Genomic DNA, 22,523 nt, shown 5'->3' with positions numbered 1-22,523 from the left:
ATACAAATGCCGCCCACCAAAGACAGCTTTGCAGGGTTACTTCTGTTTGTTGGCTTTCTGACCAACCATCTCAAAATATGTCAAATAAGTATATTTTAGGATGAAATATTTTAGGGAGATTTCCTTCAGTCCTTATGTATTCGTCTGTTTTCACACTGCTGATAAAGACATACTTGAGACTGGTTAATTTATAAAGAAAAAGAGGTTTTATTGACCCACAATTCCACGTGGCTGGGGAGGCCTCACAATCATGGTGGAAGGTGAAAGTTTATATCTTACATAGTGGCAGACAAGAGAGAACTTGTGCAGGGAAACTTCTCTTTATAAAACCATCAGATCTCATGAGACTTATTCACTATCATGAGAACAGCACAGGAAAGACCCACCCCCATGATTCGATCACTTCCCACCAGGTCCCTCTCATGACACATGGGAATTGTGGGAGCTACAATTCAAGATGAGATTTGGGTGGGGACACAGCCAAACCATATCACCTTACTTTGAAACTTTAAAATGTTTTGTATATAGTTGATAACTTTGGAGAGATTTGGGTTAAATGTTGTTAGATAGAGAGGAAAAGGAAGGGAAAAGAAAACAAATGGTGATAAGCAAAAAAGACTAAATTTAAACATATCCCATATCTTCTTGAATCAACCTGTTAGACCTGAGAATAGATCAGGTCAATTGAATAGCTGTGTCCCATTTCAGGAGGTGGCATTGCAAATGGGCTAGGCCTCTATATATGGCAAACATCTTTAGTAAGAGGTATTTCTAAGGAAATAGAAGAAAAACAAAAGTGAATGTCTGAAGCAGTCTACACACTGGTTTTTCTAGAGGCTCTAAAGCATCTTCAGATGGCAGGGGCTATCTGACAGATTTTTTCTGCATTTGTAGTTTGAATTAGGTGTTTAAGTGAGCTTTCTGAGTAGTCCATACATCATCAGGCATGAAGGCTGTTTATAAGTTGCTGTGGTGATTTCTTCTAGAGTTTAATTCAAGTTGTCTGTTTCCAAAAAAAAAAAAAAGGACAGGTTTGATTTCTAGTGATTCCAAGTGAGAGAAATAGAAGAAAAATGTGAAAACATTAGTTTGGAGACTTGTAACAAGGAAAGAATTAAGGGTTCAGCCCAAATTGTAGGAAATTGTAAAAACTAAAAAACTACCAACAAGGCTACAATCGAATAACAAGTGTACTGTAATTTTCTTCTCAAACATAATTTTTTCTCTCCCCAGTTCCCCATTTCTACCAAGCGTAAGGAATAGTAGGACCAATTTATTTGCAAAATAAGTTTTAGTTTTATTGTATTTGGCTTCATTATTTGCATAAAATGCAGCAAACACAGTGATTGACTATGTAGGTTTTTAAGTTGGCTTTGCTGGAGAAAATCATGAAGAATCTAAGACTAGACTTTTAAAAGGCTTGAGGCTAGAAAATCAAGCCAAGAGTTTGCCAACAGACTGTGCTTGTAATATCCACATGAATTGGGTAAATTCTTTTATTCTTGAGGTCCCACAAGATCTTGAAGTTCCTGGTCCTATCAGAAAGTGACATTCTTTACCTACCTACCTACCTCTTATAAGGTCAAAGAAACCTTATAAGAGAACCATGTAGACAAGGTACCATATCAGTCTTTCCAATCTCAAAGCAGTCTGGTCATACCTGAAAATATGCCCTTCCAGTAAAAAACTTGGAAAAATAACCAGTGTCTCTAATCACATTCTGTTACAAAAGAAAACAGATTCTTATTGAAATTATGCAAGTAACTATGTTGCCATAAATTAAAAATACTCACAAATAGTTTCCTGTTGGGGTGATCAGACCCAACACCAGGTCGTGGGGGTGACAAAGTCCGGTGGAGTAAAAGGATTGAGAAAAAGACAGTTTGAGAGAGAAAGGTGGGACACCAGGGGAGCCATCACAATCATGGAGGCTACGAAGGCCCTGAGCTCTGGGAGCCCACGCTATTTATTGGTAATCCAACAAAGAAACAGGTGGTGAGAATGTGGAGGACAAAAGGTCAGGCGTATGATCTACAGCTGTGATGGTTTAGCATTTATATGGAACATGTTCTGCTACTTGAGGTAACGGAGAGCAGGTTCTTTTAACTCAAGATACAGTCGATCCTGGGAGAGCAAGGAGCAAGGAGCCAGCAAGTCTAGACCCGTTCCAGAGCCACAAGCCCTGGATTCTATCCAAGCCACGAGGGATTTTATGCCCTGGGCTTAGATTATGGTGGGTGAGGGTAGCCTTCCACCCTTTAGCACAGAATTTGGTATTCCAAAGGCCACAAGGGGTTTTAGACCCTGGACCCCAGACATGTTCCAAGACTCTTTTACATTATGTCAGACATGCAAGCCCTGCCTCAGCTTCTCCCAACGCTCAGCTTTTCCCAACAGTTTCCAAATTCTGGAGAAATCAGGTAAAGAGTAAGATAAACATTTCAACTTTGCTCACAAAAGTATACTTTACCCTATTGTTGTAAGCTACAAATAGCTCAAAAGAAAAAGTTTTCTTGACTCTGGAAAACTAAACATAAAAAGAATCAGCAATGTTTCAAACAAAGTTATAAAAAATTATTTCAGTCCTCTATTCATTCCCATGTAATTCATACTTGCTTTGATTGCTGTTGAGTTAGCAATCCTCATGAACGCATCAGCTTTTTTTTTTTTTTTTTTTTTTTTTTTTTTTTTTTAGTGGAGACTGTTTCACCATTTTGGCCAGGATGGTCTCGATCTCTTGACCTCATGATGCACCCGCCTCGGCCTCCCAAAGTGCTGGGATTATAGGCGTAAGCCACCGCACCAGGCAGAACACATCAGCTTTTTAATTAGAGTCCTGGAAGTTTTTAATCTAGTCCAATGTTATGGAATAGATTAAACTGTTATCTCCAAAGTTACCAGAAACCTGTATTCAAGAGTGTTAAATACTGGTCAGGATGCTTTCCAAAAATTTCCTTGAAGAAGAAGGAAATTTGGGACTATAGCCAATTATAAACCATTCTTCGAGAAAAAGTAAAAGAATAATTGTCTATGGGTGACAAAATACTTAGAAATATCTATAAAGACACAATTAATAAGAAAAGTTGGTTATTCCAGTGGCATACAACAATTTAATGTAATAATCATAATTATTACTGATGACATATCCTAAGACATGTAAGAATTTAGGGAATCTATATAACCTTGGGGCACATTAATAACGTATTTATACAAGTTAAACACCATTTCTTATTTGACAATGCTTGCCATATCACTTTAACATACTAAATTAGCCTAATAAGTCTCTCTTGGACTTTCAGGATCCCTAATATACAAAAAGTTAATTTTAGGCCAAAGATCAAATTTGGAATTTGAAATATGATTTTGGAAAGTGCTCAAAATGGGAACACAAGTCACTGAAAAAAAACATTCATTCAATTAGCCAAAGTGATAATTCAAAGCTTTCAAAAGGCAAAAATCATATAGAGTGACAGGAGACTCAGCTTTTCAAACAATTAAAAGACCTGATAGGCAAGGTGTGGTGGCTCACACCTGTAATCTCAGCACTTTGGGAGGTCAAGGCTGGTAGATCACCTTAGTCAGGAGTACAAGACAAGCCTGGCCAACATGGTGAAACCCTGTCTCTACTAAAAATACAAAAAAATCAGCCAAGTGTGGTGGTGGGCACCTGTAATCTCAGCTACTTGGGAGGCTGAGGCAGGAGAATCGCTTGAACCCAGGAGGTGGAGGTTGCAGTGAGCCAAGACCGCACCATTGCACTCCAGCCTGGGCAACAAGAATGAAACTCCATCTCTCTCTCTCTCTCACACACACACACACACACACACACACACACACAAAGACCCGATAAAGAGGCAAACAAAATCTCTCTCTTCCCTTTTTTTTTGCAGTTTATATAAAATGTAAACAAAAAATGTTTTACTATCTCTTATGAATATTACACAAAAATCATGTTCTAAAAAGAAAGTCAAATTTCACTTTTGCATCAGTGTATTATTAATGCTAACAATAATTTTAATAAAACCTTATAAGCAGATTCATGCAATCTCAATCAGCTTTGACCACACACAATAATATTTCCATAAACCCTTTTTAACGTCTTATAATTTTCCCCATTTTCTTTCTTTCCAACTTTCTGTATCCATTGAGGTTTTTTTTTTTTTTTTTTTTTTTTGATGGAGTTTTGCTCTTGTTGCCCTGGCTGGAGTGCAATGGCGTGATCTCTGTTCACTGCAACCCCAGCCTCCTGGGTTCAAGCAATTCTCCTGCCTCAGCCTCCGAGTGGCTAGGATTACAGGCATGCGCCACCACGCTTGGCTAATTTTGTATTTTTAGTAGAGACAGGGTTTTGCCATATTGGCCAGACAGGTCTTGAACTCCCAACCTCAGGTGATCCACCCACCTTGACCTCCCAAAGTGCTGGGATTACAGGCGTGAGCCAATGCACCCAGCCCCATTAAGTTTTATCTATTATTATTTTTATTCCTTCAATTTAAGACAACTTTTAAAATCCTCTAAACTAACCAAAATTACTTTTCCTTTAACGAAACCCACATTTTCCTGCCTCCTTATATAACCTTTTTTAAACCGAAAATACTTCCTACTTTTCTTATGTACTTTGTATACAGAACTGTTTATTTTATTAATATATCTAGCAATTTTAATTACACATATTAATCACAATGTTATCTTTTATTTTGGTAACCTTATTTTGTGAAAACCCTAGGAAATAAGCAATTTTAATTATGTACCAGATGCAGATCTTGGGACAAGGGACAGGGATGTGAAGACTATGCCTGGAGGATCCAACTCCTCCTAGCAAGGCCGGAAGGCACAACTGAGCCAGGGAGAAAGGGATTAGGCCCTGTTCCCAGGCCTCACCGTGGTCACTTGCCTAGACCTCAAAATCTAAAGGCTGAAATCCAAAAACATAAACTCACAGATTAAAAATGTCAGAGAAGCAACAGTTTTATCACTTTAAAACATCTATTAGAGACAGTATACACCTGTCTGACCAATAGAACCAGGCAAAAAAAAAAGTCTAAATTAAATTCTGAAGACATTTATATTTTACCAATAACTTTTAAAATCACTTTATTTATGAAAGATTACTAAAATCATGTAAATTTGATAAACTTTTGGGCTAGTTATTTATGAGCACTCATTTATTTATAAATTAAGTTGGGACAATATATAAACATAGATGTGTACCCACGTATATATAAAAATACAAACATAAAAAAAGACTTTATAGCTTTGACTTTAAAATTTTAGTCATGAGACCATTAAAACTCACTAGTTTAAAAGGCATTTGGATTCAAACTGTACCTTTGTAAATGCAAAAGGATAAAGTTTATCTTTCTCACATAGGTAAAGCCCTCACTGAGTTTTAGATTAAACGTGGTAGCAAATTTACATCTCAAAGCACAGAGAAAGAGGATTTAGCTTTTTCGAGGAGTTTGGGTGTGTTAGAGGAAGATTAAAAATAAATGCCAAGGTAACATAAAATCATAGGATTTCATAAGGAAACATGCAGATGGGCCTAGAGGAAATTTAGAAACCTTTTCAAAATAACCAGCTAAACACCAGAAAGTCATATTTTGGAGACCAATCTATTTGAATAGGTGGCTTTTAAATTTTGTCTTCATTCTTCAACTGGACCACTGACCTCAGGGCAAAGCTCATTAACAAATTGGGCCCCAAAAAAGCATTGCAGGTTTTATGGGGGACCTAATATTTAAATATGTGAAAAGCAGGCACAGCTGGAAAGTATATCTAGATCTTTAAAAATCAAGGATTCTGGCCTGGCATAGTGACTCATGCCTATAATCCCAGCACTTTGGGAGGCTGAGGCAGGTGGATCACAAGGTCAAGAGATTGAGACCATCCTGGCCAACATGGTGAAACCCTGTCTCTACTAAAAATACAAAAATTAGCTGGGCATGGTGGCACGCTCCTGTAGGCCCAGCTATTCAGGAGGCTGAGGTAGGAACCTCAATCACTTGAACCTGGGAGGCAGAGGTTGCAGTGAGCCGAGATCACACCACTGCACTCCAGCATGGTGACAGAGCGAAACTCTGTTCCACTTTTCCATTGAATTCCAGGTGCCAAAAAATAGACACACATCTTGAGATGAGGGCTAGGCAGACAGTTCTTGTTACAAAGACATTGCCCCTAAGCTGGTGGGCAACCCAGAATCATTTGACCCACTTTGACAAGCTCATCTCCCATGAGAGTCTCATCCCTCTGTGGTGAGCACTCTCATAGACTCCAAGTGTTCAAACTGCACCTTTCTCATCTAAACACAAAGAAATACATAGCCGCCTGTAGTGACAACCATTTATTGCAATCACTGTCAGAACTTCCCAAACTGTAGTTCTTGCCAGTGACCCACCAGCCATTGCACACATAAAGGTCAAGTTCTCTCTTAGAGTACAAAGTAATTCTTGGCATCCCCAAGGCCAAAGAGATCAGGTAACAGAATGTAAAATAGAGCAGAGCTTTAGATCTGAGAGAACCTGCCTGTGACTCCTGAAACTCCACAAGGAAAACAGAAGACTTCAAAAGGGGGTGAGTGGCACCTTTTTCTGAGTTTCTTAAGGGGCCTGAGTCACTAGCACTCCCTTCTAGATCTTTTCATGTGGTATCAAAGACAGTAAAGAGAAAGACAGCATAGGGAGGAGAATTAAATAAAATAATTCTTGAGAAAGGAAAAGAACAGAGGAACCAAGCACATATTTAAAAGAGGTTTCAGTTGACTGAAAAAAATCTCCCCAAACGGGCCTTAAAAAGCAGGAAGGCCTTTTTAGAAAAGTATATGTGTATATATAGCTTGAATATTGGCTTTTAATGAAGCTGACTTCTGACCATGGAGATCTTTTCAAAAAAATCCTTTTAAATCTCTAACAGATTTTAACCATGACAAACAACTGATATTTCTGGCTTTTAACTTTAAAAAAAACAAAAAACAAAAAATATTCTCCCACCTCATAAGATCCAGAACCACCTCAAAGACAGCTCAAAGAAAGGAGTTTTATTAGCCACAAATGTGTTACAACCCACATCTGTCCGGCTGCATTCTCTTAAGGTCTCAGCGTCTCAGCTGACCATTTTCACACAAATGCCCAAAAGCCCCATATGCCCCACTCAAAAGCTGCCCATGAAAGAGAAAAGGACCAATAAATGCCTACTCCCAAAAGCCAAAAGTCACACAAACTTCAAACCAAAAGAGATTGATTCCCTGACCAGGAATCAAACCAAGGCTGCAGGAATGAAGGCATGGAATTTTAGCTGTCACACTGCAAGCTGGACTAGACTTCATTGTGAATCCTGCAAAGGGTCCAAAGCAGGCAGTTTTAATGTACAAGGGCTTTTAACTTTGTTTCAGGTCAGATTTTTGCTCTTTAATTTAGTCAAGGAAATTTCTAAGGCTAACCATGATACTATTATGTGTCTTTCTTTCAATTTGGTCTTCCTACAGGTACAAAGAAGTCAATTATTTAGAATAAGTGATCTCCAAATTTCCTTTTTTTTTTTTTTTTTAAACATAGGAGTCTTTGCCTCTTTATGGAAAGCTCAGGGTGTATTATAATTTGCCAGGCTTGGAACAAAGTGGTGTTTCCTAGAGAAGGCATAGAAGAAGCAATCCCCCAAATCCCCCTCCCCCAAAATTCATTACCAGGGACAGTCTCAGATAGCGAAACACTCTTGTTGCCATAGACTAACAAGCAACAAGGTTGAGACAACAAAAGTCCCATGGTGATGGGACTTGTTAAGACAAACTCGCCTGAGAACTTGACACGTTCAGAACAGAAACTGTGCTGGCCTCAAGTTCCCAGCCATTTTTAGAATGGTCACCTGTCATGACTTGAAGATCATGCCCCCCAGATGGTGGAGACAAAAAGAATGTGCTCTCACTTCATCACAAGTCAAGCTCTCATGGACATAAAACAAGACAAGAGGAAACCTTATCCAGTACCCATCTTTCTGACAGAACAGCACAGAAAAACAAAGGCATAGGAAAATATTATTTCTGGAAGAAAAGGGATTAAATATGAATATGCATACCAAAAAGTACACCAGAGTTGTACTTGGCTACACCCAGAAAAACAAAGGCATAGGAAAAGATGATTTCTGGAAGAAAAGGGATTCAATATGAGTACACAGAGTTGTACTTGACTACACCAAGACTAGTCACACAAGTCCTTTTCTCCTATTAATCAAAACCTTGCAGGTGAAAAAGAAACAGTGCTTTTTACCATTTGCTCCACCAGAGAGAGACAAACAGAGGCTGGGAGCCTGATGGGTAAGAATCTCTTACCCTTCTGCTGGCTTGTCAGGTCCTGGGTTCCCTTAGCTGCAGCTTCCAGAAGAGTGGAGCTTTGGAATCCTGCTCACAGCAACAAAACAGTAGGAGCCAAAGGAAAACCTCCCCTTTGCCCTCTGAAGTTTTGCTGAAAAAAATCAACTCAGATGAATTGGAGAAAAGGCATACAAATTTGTTAATGTGCACATGAAGGAAAACCACAGAGTGACTACCCCACCCTCCAATGGAGTTAAGAAATGTATGCCATCCTGAGGTTGCAGAAAGAATGGCAGCTTGGATCATGGCAAAACAGATTCTGGTGGCAAAATGCATTATGGGAGGGCAAGGAGAGGAGGCCTGGCTAGCAAAGGTGGTCTTGTTATATAAATAAAACTTCACAGGTATCAGTCCTCAGAAAGAATAGATAGTAAGACTCTCATTAATCTTTCTTAGACAAGGAAAGGCCTCAGACAAAACCTAGCTGCATCAGTGCAGATTGTCTACAGATGTAAATGTCCCCTACGAAAGGCAGCTTTGCAGGGTTACTTCTGTTTGCAGGGTCTCTGAACAGCCACCCCACCTCGAAGTATGTCAAAGAAGTATACTTTGGGGTGAAATATTTTTATTTCCTTCAGTCGCTATTTATCTTATTTTTCAAAAGCCTACAGGAAAGGTTATATATAATTTTAAGAAGCCCATTTGTTTGCTTGAAGATCTTAATTATAAGTTTTGCTGCAACTAGTTACAGGACTATAGGCAAATTAGTTAATCTCTTCAAGTCTGTATTATTTTCCTTGTAAAATGGAAACACTGCTGTTTGTTATCCTCAAAAAAAAAAGCTGAGTGAAACTCGTGTGATATGATCCAATGAGATAATACTTTGAGAAAGAATTAATCAAAGAAGAAATTTTTAAACTCATCTGGATATCCCATGCTATATTTGAATATGTGTTTATCCGCAAGGGAGAAATGGAGAGCAATATTACCAATTCTTCACGAGGCATTCTTCATTGACGTTTGTCCCAGTCTTGTGTTTCTTTCTTCTCTGATTTTTACTTTTAGTTTATGTCACCTAATCCTTTCTGGAATCAGGGGACGTTACATATAAATACATTTTAAAACAGCACTCACCCTTTGTATGCTTGAATCATGCTTTAAAAAAACAATCCAGAAATTCAACTACCCTATGAGCTCTGTGATGCGTATTTTATTAACCCTTTCTTCTATATCTGTAATTTGAAGATGGCTGGAGTCAGCTGGCAAATACAGAAGCAGGAAACATTACACTGAAGCTCAGAAAATAATATCCCCAAATGAAGGCATCAGAAATAAAAGTTCTTCTCTGACCTTCTTTCTCTCAAGGTGAGTCATAAAAACCAGAATCCCTTTTCCCCAAAGCCAGCCACAAAATCTTAGAATATTACTCTAACTTTCCCTTTGCCTTTCTGTATAAAAGTTGGACATAAAGAAATTTTCTGACCTCCCTTATTTGGCTGTAGGTCATAAGACCTCCATTCCATAGAGGGCCCTGTGCCACACCCAGAAGGAAGGAACGCTGCTCAGAGAGGCCAAGATGAGTCTAGACAGGCAGGCCCTGCTGGGGTTTCCCAACTCCATCTATTAGCATTAGATCATACCCTTATTGTCCAATCATATTTCTCCATTGCTGCTCGTACTTTGTTGAACCTAAGCAAAAATCGGACAATTTTCTGTGTATTTTTGGGTCTTCATTCAGAAGGTTCCTGTGTGTATATGTTAAATAAATTTTTATGATTTTTCTCCAATTATTCTGCCTTGTATGAAGTGATTTTTCCATGAAACTTCAGGGGCTCAAGGGCCCTGGCCCGTGAAATTAATATAACCTAGGACATAAATTTACCCTTCTATTATCTCACTCCTCATACCACCCCCACCCCCAACACACACACTTCTTTTTTTTTTCTCAATATTCTAGAATGTACCTGGAATGAGCCTAAAATATTTTTTCCCCCAGGAATGGTGTAATGTATGGAATGGTTATTTCTAGGGGTATTTAGCTTATGAATGATTAAAGAAAAAGTCAAAAAGGACTTTGGAAATTATCAAATTTAAACCTGCATTTTACATTATTAAATAAACTTCATATGAGGTTGTTGGTTTAGATTGAGCCCCTGCACTAGGTTCAACAGACCAAACCAAAATGCAGTCACTCCTGCTGAAGTTCCATGTCACCAAGCCAAAAGTAAGTTCTCTACCTGACCTTCTGAGAAATCAGGAGAGTGAGAGATAATAGCCAAATCTCCACACAAGCCAGTTTTAGCTGGCATGATAAGGAAATCCCCTCTGTTTTAACCTTTACAAGGAAAGGAGCTTGGAAATAACCAACTTGCTTTTTGTCTTTTGATTCTGCTTTTCTCAGCCCTTTTCTGTCTACAAAACCAACCTCCTCTGCTCAGTTCATCTGAACACATTCCACTTTGTAGAATGAGATGTCGCCCAATTCTAGAATCACAAATAAAAGCCAATTAAGGTCTTTAAATTTATTGTAATTTTGTCTTTGAACAACATATATGAAGTTTTAATTACCTGCTTAGTTATAGGTAGCAAATTTGAAACACTCATTCCTTTCCCAAGGACATGATGAAGTGATCAGATTATTTTATACCCCTTTGAACAGCTTTCTGAGGCATGTTTGTATAGGCTTCTTGGTTACTTTAGAAACATTCTAAGCAGCAGAGCAGTCTTACAACCTGAGTATTTTCTATCTTCGCAGATTCACGTGTCTGGATTTGTTGACTTAGTGGGTTGGCACAGGGTACATGCAGACCCCAGGTCAAATGAGTACTGAGATTTTTCTCTTCTATGAGATGTATTTCAATCCCCTGAAGTTTCCACGGGAATTCTTTATTTCATGGTGGATGAGGTCGTATGTCCTGTCCCATAACTGTCCTGCCACCATCACCTGATTTTCAACCATAACCTGTTTTTGGTCATGCTCTGAGCCCCCATTTTTTCTGTAACCTCCAGGTGGTGTTTAAGCTGCTGCACCCCATTGAGGGGTTAGTGGTAATCGCTCTGTGGTTCCCTCTGTGTGCACACGAATAAATTTGTATGCCTTTTCTCCAATTAATCCTGCCTTTTGTGAGTTGATTTTTCAGCGAAACTTCAGAGGACAAAGTGGAAGTTTTCCCTTGGCCCCTATAATTCTTTCATATTGCCTTAATTTCTTACATTATGACTATATTTATGTATTTCTTATATAATTTAAAATAAAAGGTATATGATTAACATTAGAATACAATGATGTTCATGAATGGCACCCATCCACTTGAGCCCCAGTAAATTGCTGCCCCTGTGGTCTTAGCACTAAGACCGGGGAGTGGCATTTCGGCTGGGAGGGTGTTTGCAAATCTGTAGCTAGTGTAGCTCCTGCAGCTTGTGCCAATGCGGACAGCGTCATCAGCCATCCACTGACCCCACCAAGGTGCAAGCAGCCCCAGGGCAAAGTCAGGGAGCTGCTGGATAACAAAGGGCAAATTCTATAACTTTTCCAATTCTCAGTTTTTTCATCTTTAAAATGGGAATAAAGGCAATGATAGCAGTCCCAGCTCACTCATAGAGTTTTAGTTTGTTTTTGTTTTTGTTTGTTTGTTTGTTTTTTCCTGGCAATATCCTGCTTGATATTTCCATGCATTGCAGCTCTGACCTAGTGACTGAAGACTGAAACAAGGTAAAAGGTCAAAGGCGGATGATGAATGGCTGGAGCCAAACTGGGATGAGTTAACTAACTGATACATATCATAGTGACCTAGTTCTGCCTGGCATCTTTGCAGAACTAAAACTGGGACCTAAATAGCATTGTTTCCAGGAGAAGAAAACTGGTTGGCAATTTGTCAAAATAGTAGAAGCGAGGTCTCAGCCCCGTTTTTTTTTTTTATGGCCTTATGAATTTTAAGTAACCTCAGGAAGGCATTGGAAGTTTTCCTTGAGATAGAAATCTCTCCCTCTGTCCTTTTCAAAGCCTCCATGGACAAAATACTATCAAAATGATCGTTATTCTGCCAGTCATGTTAACAAGGAAGTGTGCATTTTAATAATTTTTCATTCCTTTTCCCCAGAGAGATAGACACAGGGAATGCCAGCTCAAAGGCCAATGTATCCACACATCCACCCTTAATTAAATAGGTGGGCAAGAGTATACATTTTGCAATTTAAAAAACTATTTTACTACAGAACTAGATTCCTACTTTTTCTGGGTTTAAAGACACACATGGTCTTAGCATATGTACATACATATATAAAGTGAGTAAGGCAATCTAGAAATGTACACAAAAGAAAGTAAAATTCTTCCCCAAACTCACCACCAGGAGATACTGCAAATGACAGCTTTGTGCATGTCCATTTCTGAAAAGTATGTTTTCCTTTATATATATTTAAATTTTTTTCCAGTACAAATACATCAGGGAAGCCAATGGCTGTCTACTGTTTCACTTGCTCAGTGTATAGTAATAATAGACAAAAATACTTTTTTCTCCCTTTCAGAAAGTCCTGCTTTCAAGGGAGGTTGATTCTCTGTTACCACAGTCGGGGGCTACATTGATAGAATTATTCCACAGCATTCCTGAAAACTCGGTCTGGTAATTTTTCTGCCCTTTTCACTTCCTGCAGGTCAAACATCCTAAAGACCAACAAGAGTTTTGACATTTAGGCTCAACCCCTATTCTGGGGGAGTGCCTGTACACTTAGGATTCAGTGGGACAACCTCTCTACCTTCTTCCCTCAGTTTTGTGTGTTGATTATTACTGGCCTGACTTTTTAGCCATTTTCTGTCCCTTTCTCTAATAAGATAAAACTTGGTGTGGAACCTACCCAGTAAGTTTGGTGAAGTTTCTAACCATCTATGAAGTAGTGCCTTCTGTGCTCCCTTCTACCCCCACCCCCGCAGCCAGTGCTGGTTCCCCACACCTGGTCACTAGGCTCTGTAAGCTTCTCAGGGCCAGCCAGTTCTGCGCTGGCACCAAGCCAGTCTCAGCAAACAAAGAACAATCGGCATGTTGTTCTCAATCCAGTTCACACTTAAAACCCTCTGGGCCAGGCACAACCTCCCTCCACTGCCCTCAGACTCTTTGACTTTCTGATTGACTGGGTGGTGACACCTGGGCTGGGGAGCAAAGCAGTAAGGAGAGGCAGCAGAAAGCAATAGTTATGCTTCCGTTGCAGAAGCACCTTCCACTCCCTGTCCAGGCTGGTGAAGATCTTCCATGACATTAATCCTTGCAAAGGCTATGTTTCCTCCCCACCTCCAATAGGTAGAATAAGTGGAAGAAACGCCAACACAATACTGATTGTTTTTTCTTTATTTGATTACTCTAAGGCTGCTTTTGAAATATCAAATGTGAAGCTTTTTCTAAAAACATATTTTGTTGTCTGCCCTAAGCACATGCTTAGCCTGCCTATAATGTAAACCAGCTATGGTGGCCAGACATACACACATCAGAATTTGGGAAACTGGTAGCATTTTCATTTACTAGTAGCATTTTCACTTCAATTTCAATAACATTCAATAATAATTAATAATTTCTGCCAGTGAAATCTTACTACTGGAAATCCAAAACTGATGTTTGTTCTACTTAAATGTAAATTTCTTGACCCATCACACTTTGATAAGTATTGCTAAGAGGTGGAAGAAAAAGATACCTACAAAACTTAAGAAACTTTGCCCTCAATAGCATATTTTTTAAAGTAAAACTTTATTTTCCTTGCAGTCCCTTTGAAGATGTTTTAACTTTTAGAAATCGAAGACCTAGTTATGTGACAAATATTAAAATCACCAGGAGAGAATTTTTAATGTACCATTGCCCAGGCCTCCCTCCTGCACACTCCTCCATGCTGAGTTGCCATAGGGTGGCTGTCATCTCTATTGCTTTAAAAGCTTCCCAGGTGATTCTAATATGAAGCCAGCTTTGAGACCCAGTAAGAAGACGTGTGTACACCCCATCAGATGGTCCAGGAGAAAATAATGCAGTGACTAACTCATCAGTAGTTTCCGTCTGTCTTCCATTAACAAAAACGGTTACCATTTCAGATTAACTCAGCAAAAAAAAATATGAATTAAATTATAACAGAAGGTACTAGAGATACCGATATAGAGAATTGTAGATATGTCTAGTAAACTATGTCCATGTATGTTAAATCTTAACTATCAAGACATTTCATTAGGGTACTTGTGAATCATGTATGGCCTGGAATGGTGAAATTCAAGTCTTGGAGTATCTCTTTCATACTCTTAGCTACTCTAGTTGCCACTGGCAACCTTAGACCATGTTGATTTGTGTCCTTCAGGAGGCTTAAGCCTCTGTAAGTAACTGATGGTCCAGCATAGCCAGTATTTCCAGTCCTTTGCCACAATTGCTCTCAGTGTGTCTGAACACAGCTTTTTCCCTGCACAGGGGTTGAGCAGCAGAGATCTGCCACTGCCTCTCCAAATGTACATCAATGGCATCTATCCCAAGCTGGGGTCAGGGCTACAGATACAGGCAGTAGTATCTCCTCATTGTTGTTGTTTTTTTCTTTTAGACATTGTATTATGAAAAATTTCCAGCATACAGAAAAGTTGAAGAACACCCACATGCCTGCTACTCAGATTCTACAATAAACATTTGCTATATTTGTTTTACCTACATATCTAGTCATCCATCCATCCATTCATATTATTTTTAATGCACGTCTTATTTTTTAATGCACTGTCAACTACAGACATCAGTACTCTTCACCTCCAAACATTTCAGCAACATATCATTAACGATAGTCAAAAATTTGTTTAGAGTTCCTTTTGTTTTAAATAAAATTTATAAAGAATGAAATGTGTAATTCTTAAGTGTACTATTCTTTGAGTTTTCACAAATGCATAGACCTATGTAACCTAAAGTCCTATGAAGATGTAGAATATCCCATCCCCCTAGGAAGTTCCCTCATGGCCCTTCCAAATAATCTCTGCTTACTCTGGTTTTCAAGTAACCACTGTTTTGCCTTTTAACAAACTATAGATTTGTTTTGCCTTCTATAGCTTCATATAAAAGAAATTAAATCGTATAGTAAGTACTCTCTTGAGTCTGGTTGTTTCATTCAACATCATGCTTTTGAGATTCACCCATGTTGTTGTTGTTGTTGTGTATCAGTAATTCACACATTTTCATTAGAAGTCTTTGGTCCAACATTAATCAAGAAAGACTCAAGGCAGGACCAGAAGCAGCTTGCAGCCAGCTAGGCCACAGGAGTATGCTCTCTTGCATCTCTCATATGTTGGAGGCCAGCAGCCATGTCATAAGGACACCAAGCAGCTACATGGAGAGGACTAGGTGGCAAAAGTCTGAGGCCTTCTGCAAACAGCCATATGAGCAAGCCCTTTGGAAGAAGAGTCTGTAATCCCAGTCAAACCTTCGGATGACTGAAGTCCTATCCTACATGACTGCAACAGCAAGAGAACCTGAGCCAGTGTTCCATGGTATAGAAGTAGTAGCCAGCATTGCACGGTGTGGATATACCACAACTTATTTATCCATTTGCTAGTCAATAGACTCCTGGGATATTCTCAGTTTGTGGCATGATATGGTTTGGATCTGTTCCCTGGCCTGGATCTCATGTCAAATTGTAATCCCCAGTGTTGGGGGTGAGGGCTGGTGGGAGGTGATTGAATCATAGGGGCAGATTTCCCACTTGGTGCTGTTCCATTGCGAGTGAGTGAGTTCTCATGAGATCTGGTCACTTAAAAGTGTGTGGCACCTCCCCCTACTCTCTCTTGGTCTTGTTCCTGCCATGTAAGATGACTGTTCAGGCTTTGCCTTCTGCCATGAGTAAAAGCTCCCTGAGGCCTCCCCAGAAGTAGATGCCACCATGCTTCCTGTATATATTGTAGAGCAGTGAGTCAATTAAACCTCTTTCCTTTATAAATTACCCAATGTCAGGTATTTGTTTATAGCAGTACAAGAACAGACTAATACAGAAAAATGGTACCAGGGGTTGGGATAAAGATATCTGAAAATATGGAAGCAGCTTAGTACAGACTAATACAGAAAAATGGTACCAGGGGTTGGGATAAAGATATCTGAAAATATGGAAGCAGCTTTGGAACTGAGTTGGAAGAATGTAGAAGGCTCAGAAGAAGATAGGAAGACGGGGGAAAGTTTGGGACTTCCTAGAGTATTGTTAAATTGCTGTGACTAAAATGCTGATAGTAATATGTGATATGGACAATGAAATCCAGGCTGCAGCAGTCTCAGATGGAGATGAGAAACTTATTAGGAACTCAAACAAATGTCGCTTTTGTTATGCATTAGCAAAGAGGTTGGCTGCATTGTTCCCCTATACTAGGGATCTGTGAAACTTTGAACTTGCGAATGATGATTTAGGGTATCTGGCAGAAGAAATTTGTTAGCAGCAAAATGTTCAAGATGTGACCTGGCTGCTTCTAACAACTTATGTTCATATACATGAGCAAAGAAATGACCTGAAATTGGAACTTATTTTTAAAAGGGAAGCAGAGCATAAAAGTTGGGAAATTTATAGCCTAGCTATATAGTAAAAAGGAAAAACCCATTTTCAGGGGAAGAATTCAAGCAGGCTGCAGAAATTTGCATAAGAGGAGCCAAGTGCTAATATCCAAGGCAATGGAGGAAAGGCCTTGAAGGCATTTCAGAGACCTTTATGGCAGCCCGTCCCATCACAGACCTGGAGGCGTAGGAGGGAAGAATGGTTTCCTGGGCCAGGCCCAGGGCCCCACTGCCCTGTGCAGCCTTGGGATACTGCTCCCTGTATCCTGGCTGCTTCTACCCCAGCCGTGGCTTAAAGGGGCCTGGGTATTGCTCAGGCTGCTGCTTCAGAGGGTGTAAGCCATAAGACTGGTGGCATCCACGTGGTGTTAAGTCTGTGGGTGCACAGAGTGCAAAAGTTGAGGCTCTACTACCTAGATTTCAGAGAATTATGGAAAAGTGTGAATGTGCAGGCAGAAGCCTGCTGCAGGGATGGAGCCCTCAGGGAGAACCTCTATTAGGGCAATGCAGAGGGAAAATGTGGGATTGTAGCCCCCACTCAGAGTCCTTATTGGGGTACTGCCTAGTGGAGCTATGAGAGGATGGCCACTGTCCTCCAAACCCCAGAATGGTAGAGCCACAAACAGCTTGCACCATGTACCTGGAAAAGCCACAGGCACTCAGTGACAGCCCATCAGAGCAGCTGTGGGAGCTGAACCCTGCAAAGTCACAAAGGAGGAGCTTCCTAAGGCTTTGGGGGCCCACCCCTTTCACCAGTGTTCCCTGGATGTGAGAAATGAAGTCAAAGAAGATTATTTTGGAGCTTTAAGATTTAATGACTGCCCTGCTGGTTTTCAGACTTGCATGGGGGCCTGTAGACCCCCTTTTTTGGGCCAATTTCTCCTTTTGGAACAGGAGTATTTACCCAATGCCTATATCCCCATTGTATTTTGCAAGTAACTAACTTGTTTTTTATTTTACAGGCTCATAGGTGGAAGGGACTACCCTTGTCTCAGATGAGACTTTGGACATTGGGCTTTTGAGTTAGTGCTGGAATGAGTTAAAACTTTGGGCAATTGTTAGGAAGGCATGATTGTATTTTGAAATATTACCAGGATATGAGATTTCGAAGGAGCCAGGGACTGAATTATATGGTTTGGATCTGTGTCCCTGCCCAAATCTCATGTCTAATTGTAATCCCCAATGTTGGTGATGGGGCCTGGTGGAAGATGATTGGCTTATGGAGCCAGATTTCCCATTTAGTGCTGTTCTGGTGATAGTTAGTGAGTTCTCATAAGGTCTGGTCATTTAAAAATGTGTGGCACCTCCGCTACTCTCTCTTTTGGTACTTTCCCTGCCATGTAAGACACCTGCTCCTGCGTTGCCTTCTGGCATGAGTAAAAGCTTCCTGAGGCTTCCCCAGAAGCAGATGCTGCTATGCTTCCCATACAGCCTGCAGAACTGTGAGCCAATTATACCTCTTTTCTTTCTAAATTACCTGGTGTCAGGTATTTCTTTACAGCAGTGTGAGAACAGGCTAATACAGGGGGTTTATGTCAACATTCTTGTACAAATCTTTTTGTGAACATGTGTTTTCATCTTTCTTTGATAAATACCTAGGAGAAGAACTGCTAGATCATGGGGTAAGTATATGTTAATTTTACAAAAAAACAAAATCTGCTAGATCTTTTCCCCAAGTAGTCATATTATCTTACATTCCTACCAACAGTTTATAAGAATTCAGGCACTCAGACATCCTCATCAATATCTGATGTTGTCAGTCTTTAATTTTAGCCATATTAGTGGTGTGTAGTGGGATCTCATTGTAGTTTTAATTCATATTTTGCTTTTCCTCTGTTACATGTGAGTTAACACCTGCCATGTGCAAAATGTTATGCAAAATATACCAGGACTTTCCTAGTCAGACTGTGGTCCATGAATCAGTCATATTAGTATCCTTTGGGAGCTGGATATGCCGAGAAATACAGAGTTCCCGCCCCATCCCAGACCTGCTGAATCAAAAATCTGCATTTCAACAAGAACCCTAGATGATTCTTATGAATATTTAAAGTAAGAAGTTCTGTATTGGAGATATAAAGGTAAATAAGATGTGGTTATTGACCTGGAAAAATGGGGCAAGATAGAAAAGGTGGTAAGCCGGGACCAGGTATAAGTGGAGCAAAGTTATTATAATAAATATAATGTGATGCCTGACCCAACAGACATGAAAACAAAATTTGAAAGGAGATGGAGAGAACAGATGGGGCTTCATGGGGAAGGCATCTCTTATGTGGGTCATGAGCAGTAGATGGGGAGGAAAAAGGAAGAAAGATATGTATTCTTAGCTGTACTGCGAAAAGCTTAGTCTGATAAAAGGCAGGAATTGGATTGGGGAGGGGTAAGAGACAAAGATAAGTTTTTGGATTAGAGTGACAATTTAAATAAGAGAAATTGAAAGTAAAGTGACTGCAAGATCCCTAATCTTGTACACTGTACACTGTAGACAGATATGTTCATTTATTAAAGGAGAGTTCTTAGTATTTGGTTGGGACTTCAGGACATGGAAGTAATAGGGCAGAAACAATGTGCTATGATTATTAACAATGACAGAGTAGATTTTCCTTATCAATAATAAAGAAACTGAGAACAACAAGATATAGTAAAGTCACCAAAGGTGCAACAAATACTAGCAGGGAAATTGATTGCAAATATAATTTCACGTGTATAAATACAGATATGTATACACACACACACACACACAAAAGGGAATAATTCTGATTTTGGTGTGGATTATCTGGAATTTAGAGATACGCCACTACTTATTTTCTGTTTAGTTTGAATGTTATGAATGGTAGGAGCCAAGACTTGAGTTAAAGTTTTATGGATACTTTATTACTTAGGTAGAATCAGGGCAGGAATAAAACACATTTTAGGTTAGTCTGTAGATTGACTCTAGAAAAATAAACATTAAAGAGAAAAAAATAATAATCATGAGGAAGACTTGAGAAAACCTGCAAAATACTTTTGTAATTGGCATTGTTTAAAAATGCTTATCTTGTTCTTGTTTCTCTAGCAAGTCTCAGAAGACACCATTAGAATTTAATAATCATTTCCTGTAGGAAACTGAGTTATTATAGTGTGAAAACGTGGGTTTTGGATTCAAATACTCTTGGATTCAGGTCTGGCTTCTCTGCTTATTGTCTGCCTGACCTTGGACAAATCAATTTACCCAAAACTCAATTTCCTCAGGTGTACAATAGAAAAATGAATTGCGTATAGAGTAGTTGTGAAGATTGAATGTTCTTCACAAGCTCCTAAGAGTTGTTATCACCTCACACCGGCTAGAATGGCTATCATCAAAAAGAGGAAAGATAACAAGTGTTGGTGAGGATGAGGAGAAAAGGGGACGCTTGCCCACTGTTGGTAGGAATGTCAATTAGTACAGCCATATTGAGAACAGTATGGAGGTTCCTAAAAATATTAAAAATAGAACTACCATAAGGTCCAGTAATTCCTCTACTGGCTATATATCTAAAGGATATAAAATCAGTATGTCAAAAATATATCTGCACTCTCATGCTTATTGAGGCATTATTCACAATACCTAAGATATGGAATTAACCTCTGTCCAACAACAGATGAATGGATAAAGAAAATGTGACATATATACACAATGGAATTATATTTGGCATTTTTTGGTATGAACATGGCTCACTGCAGCCTCGACCTCCTGGGCTCAAGCAATCCTCCCTCCTCAACCTCCCAAGTAGCTGGGACCACAGGCATGCACTGCCATATCCAGTTAATTTTTATTTTTTAATCTTTGCAGAGATGGGGTCTTTCCCTGTTGCCCAGGGTGGTCTTCAACTGAGCTCAGGTAATCCTCCTGCCTTAGACTCCCAAAGTGCTGGGATTACAGGCATGAGCCACCATGCTAAGCCCTGTTTAGCCTTTAAAAAAAAGGAAATCCTGTCATTTGCAACCACATGGATGAAACTGGAGGACATTATGTTAAGTGAAATAAGCCAGGACAGAAAAACAAATACTACCACATGATCTCACTTATATGTGGAGTGTAAAACAGTGAAACTCATAGAAACTGAGAGTAACATGGTGGTGGCAAGAGGTTGGTGGGTTAGGGGACTTGGGAGATGTTGGTCAAAGATGCAAAATTTGAGTTAGACAGGAGGGATAAGTTCAAGAGACATATTGTACCCATCTAGTACTACAATACATGTGTTAAAATACCTTAAACAAATTAAATTCAGTAGAGCTTAATCGCTCAAAGAAGATGTGTGAATCAGGCAGCATCCCCAACCAGAATAGGTTCAGAGCAACTTCGCGCTGCCATGTGGTTGGAGAGGATTTACAGACAGAAAAAGGAAAGTGACCTCCAGAAAATGGAGGTGAGGTACCTAAACAGCTGGATTGATAACAGCTTGTTGTTTGCCTTATTTGATCACAAGTTTGAAGAGTTGCCCATCTTTGGCCAAAACTTGCTGATTGTTGCAAGAGTAGGTTACAGTCTGTTTACACACCACATTAGGTTACATTTCACTATGTACAGAGAAACCTTTAGGCTGAACCTAAAACATGTAAGAAGTCAGCTTTAGGTTAAACTTAATTTAATGCATTGTATATTTGAAAATTTCTAAAAGAATAGATTTTAAGTGTTCTCATTGCACAGGCAAAAAATAAGTATGTGAGTTAATACGTATGTTAAGTGGCTTGATTTGACTATTCCACAATGTATACACATATTAAGGCATCGTGTTGTGCATCATAAGTATATACAATTTTTACTTGTCAATCTAAACATTTTTTAAAAATTAAATGTGGGTTGTTAAATGAACTGTAAAAAATAAGTAAAAGGCGAATTGAGCTCCAAACTAAAGTGACACATAGATCAAATATTTTTAACATAAGTTTAGAATTTGAGGCATTTTATCTTCAAAGCAAAATAATTGGGAAGTGGAAAAAAAAAAAAAACCCATCAAGTTGACGAATCTATGAACTAGCTCTGACCTAGACCTAAACAAACTCAGCTCTGGAGGAGGCGTTGGGGTCGGAGCCGAAAGCAGGCAACAGTGCCACCTGGTGGATTATACATGCAGAAAAACATTCAGAGTTTTCAAATCCTGAAGGTGATTTCACACCTGATCCCTTCTTGGATATTTCAAGTTTTTACCTTTGATATAAAACGTGTTCATTTTTATTGTATTATCTGCCATCAGCTTCAATTATAGACATCTGGTATTTTTCTAACTCTACAGACCTACTTTTTTATAGAGCATATATTTCGTTTTTTGTTGTCGTTTTTAAGTAATGGAAGCAAATTTTAGTGCTAGAAGTTTAGTGTCAGCTGTTGGGGGACATGCACCCTAATCTTATTACAAACAGCAGAAAGCAGCCTGGCTTACTGCATTCCTGTGCAAATCACGAAAAATACTGTCTGTTAATGTCTTTTGAAGGTGGCAATTACTGCAAAATGTAATCATCAAGATTTAGAGTAACTATCAGCGTCGTTAAAAGAAAATATGTCCCAAAATGTATAATAATAAATGGAATACAAAGCAGAACTAAGTTCCATTAATATGCTCACATGTTGAAATTACTCATGTTACCCGTACATTATTTTTTCCCCTCCAGAATCTTCATTGTGAACTCATAAGAAAGTTGATGTGGCTTAGTTGTGGGAGAAGGGGAGGAAA

General features: G+C 39.2%; 1 protein-coding gene across 2 annotated transcripts in view, besides 1 other annotated feature; it reads left to right on the top strand.

Annotated features, from left to right (window-relative positions):
* CLIC5 (chloride intracellular channel 5) overlaps positions 1 to 22,523 on the top strand; it is a 248,993-nt gene that overhangs the window by 17,613 nt on the left and 208,857 nt on the right. The gene's annotated exons all lie outside the window — the stretch shown is intronic.
* Positions 9,793 to 9,842: an enhancer, noted in NCBI's record as "active region_24649". NCBI's record gives its function as "activates an Ori minimal core promoter by ATAC-STARR-seq in GM12878 lymphoblastoid cells {active_cell/tissue: GM12878}" and the evidence as "EXISTENCE:reporter gene assay evidence [ECO:0000049][PMID:35858748]".

This window comes from Homo sapiens, chromosome 6 (assembly GCF_000001405.40).
Source record: "Homo sapiens chromosome 6, GRCh38.p14 Primary Assembly".
Taxonomy (NCBI): domain Eukaryota; kingdom Metazoa; phylum Chordata; class Mammalia; order Primates; family Hominidae; genus Homo; species Homo sapiens.
This window is presented reverse-complemented; position numbering and strand designations above follow the sequence as displayed.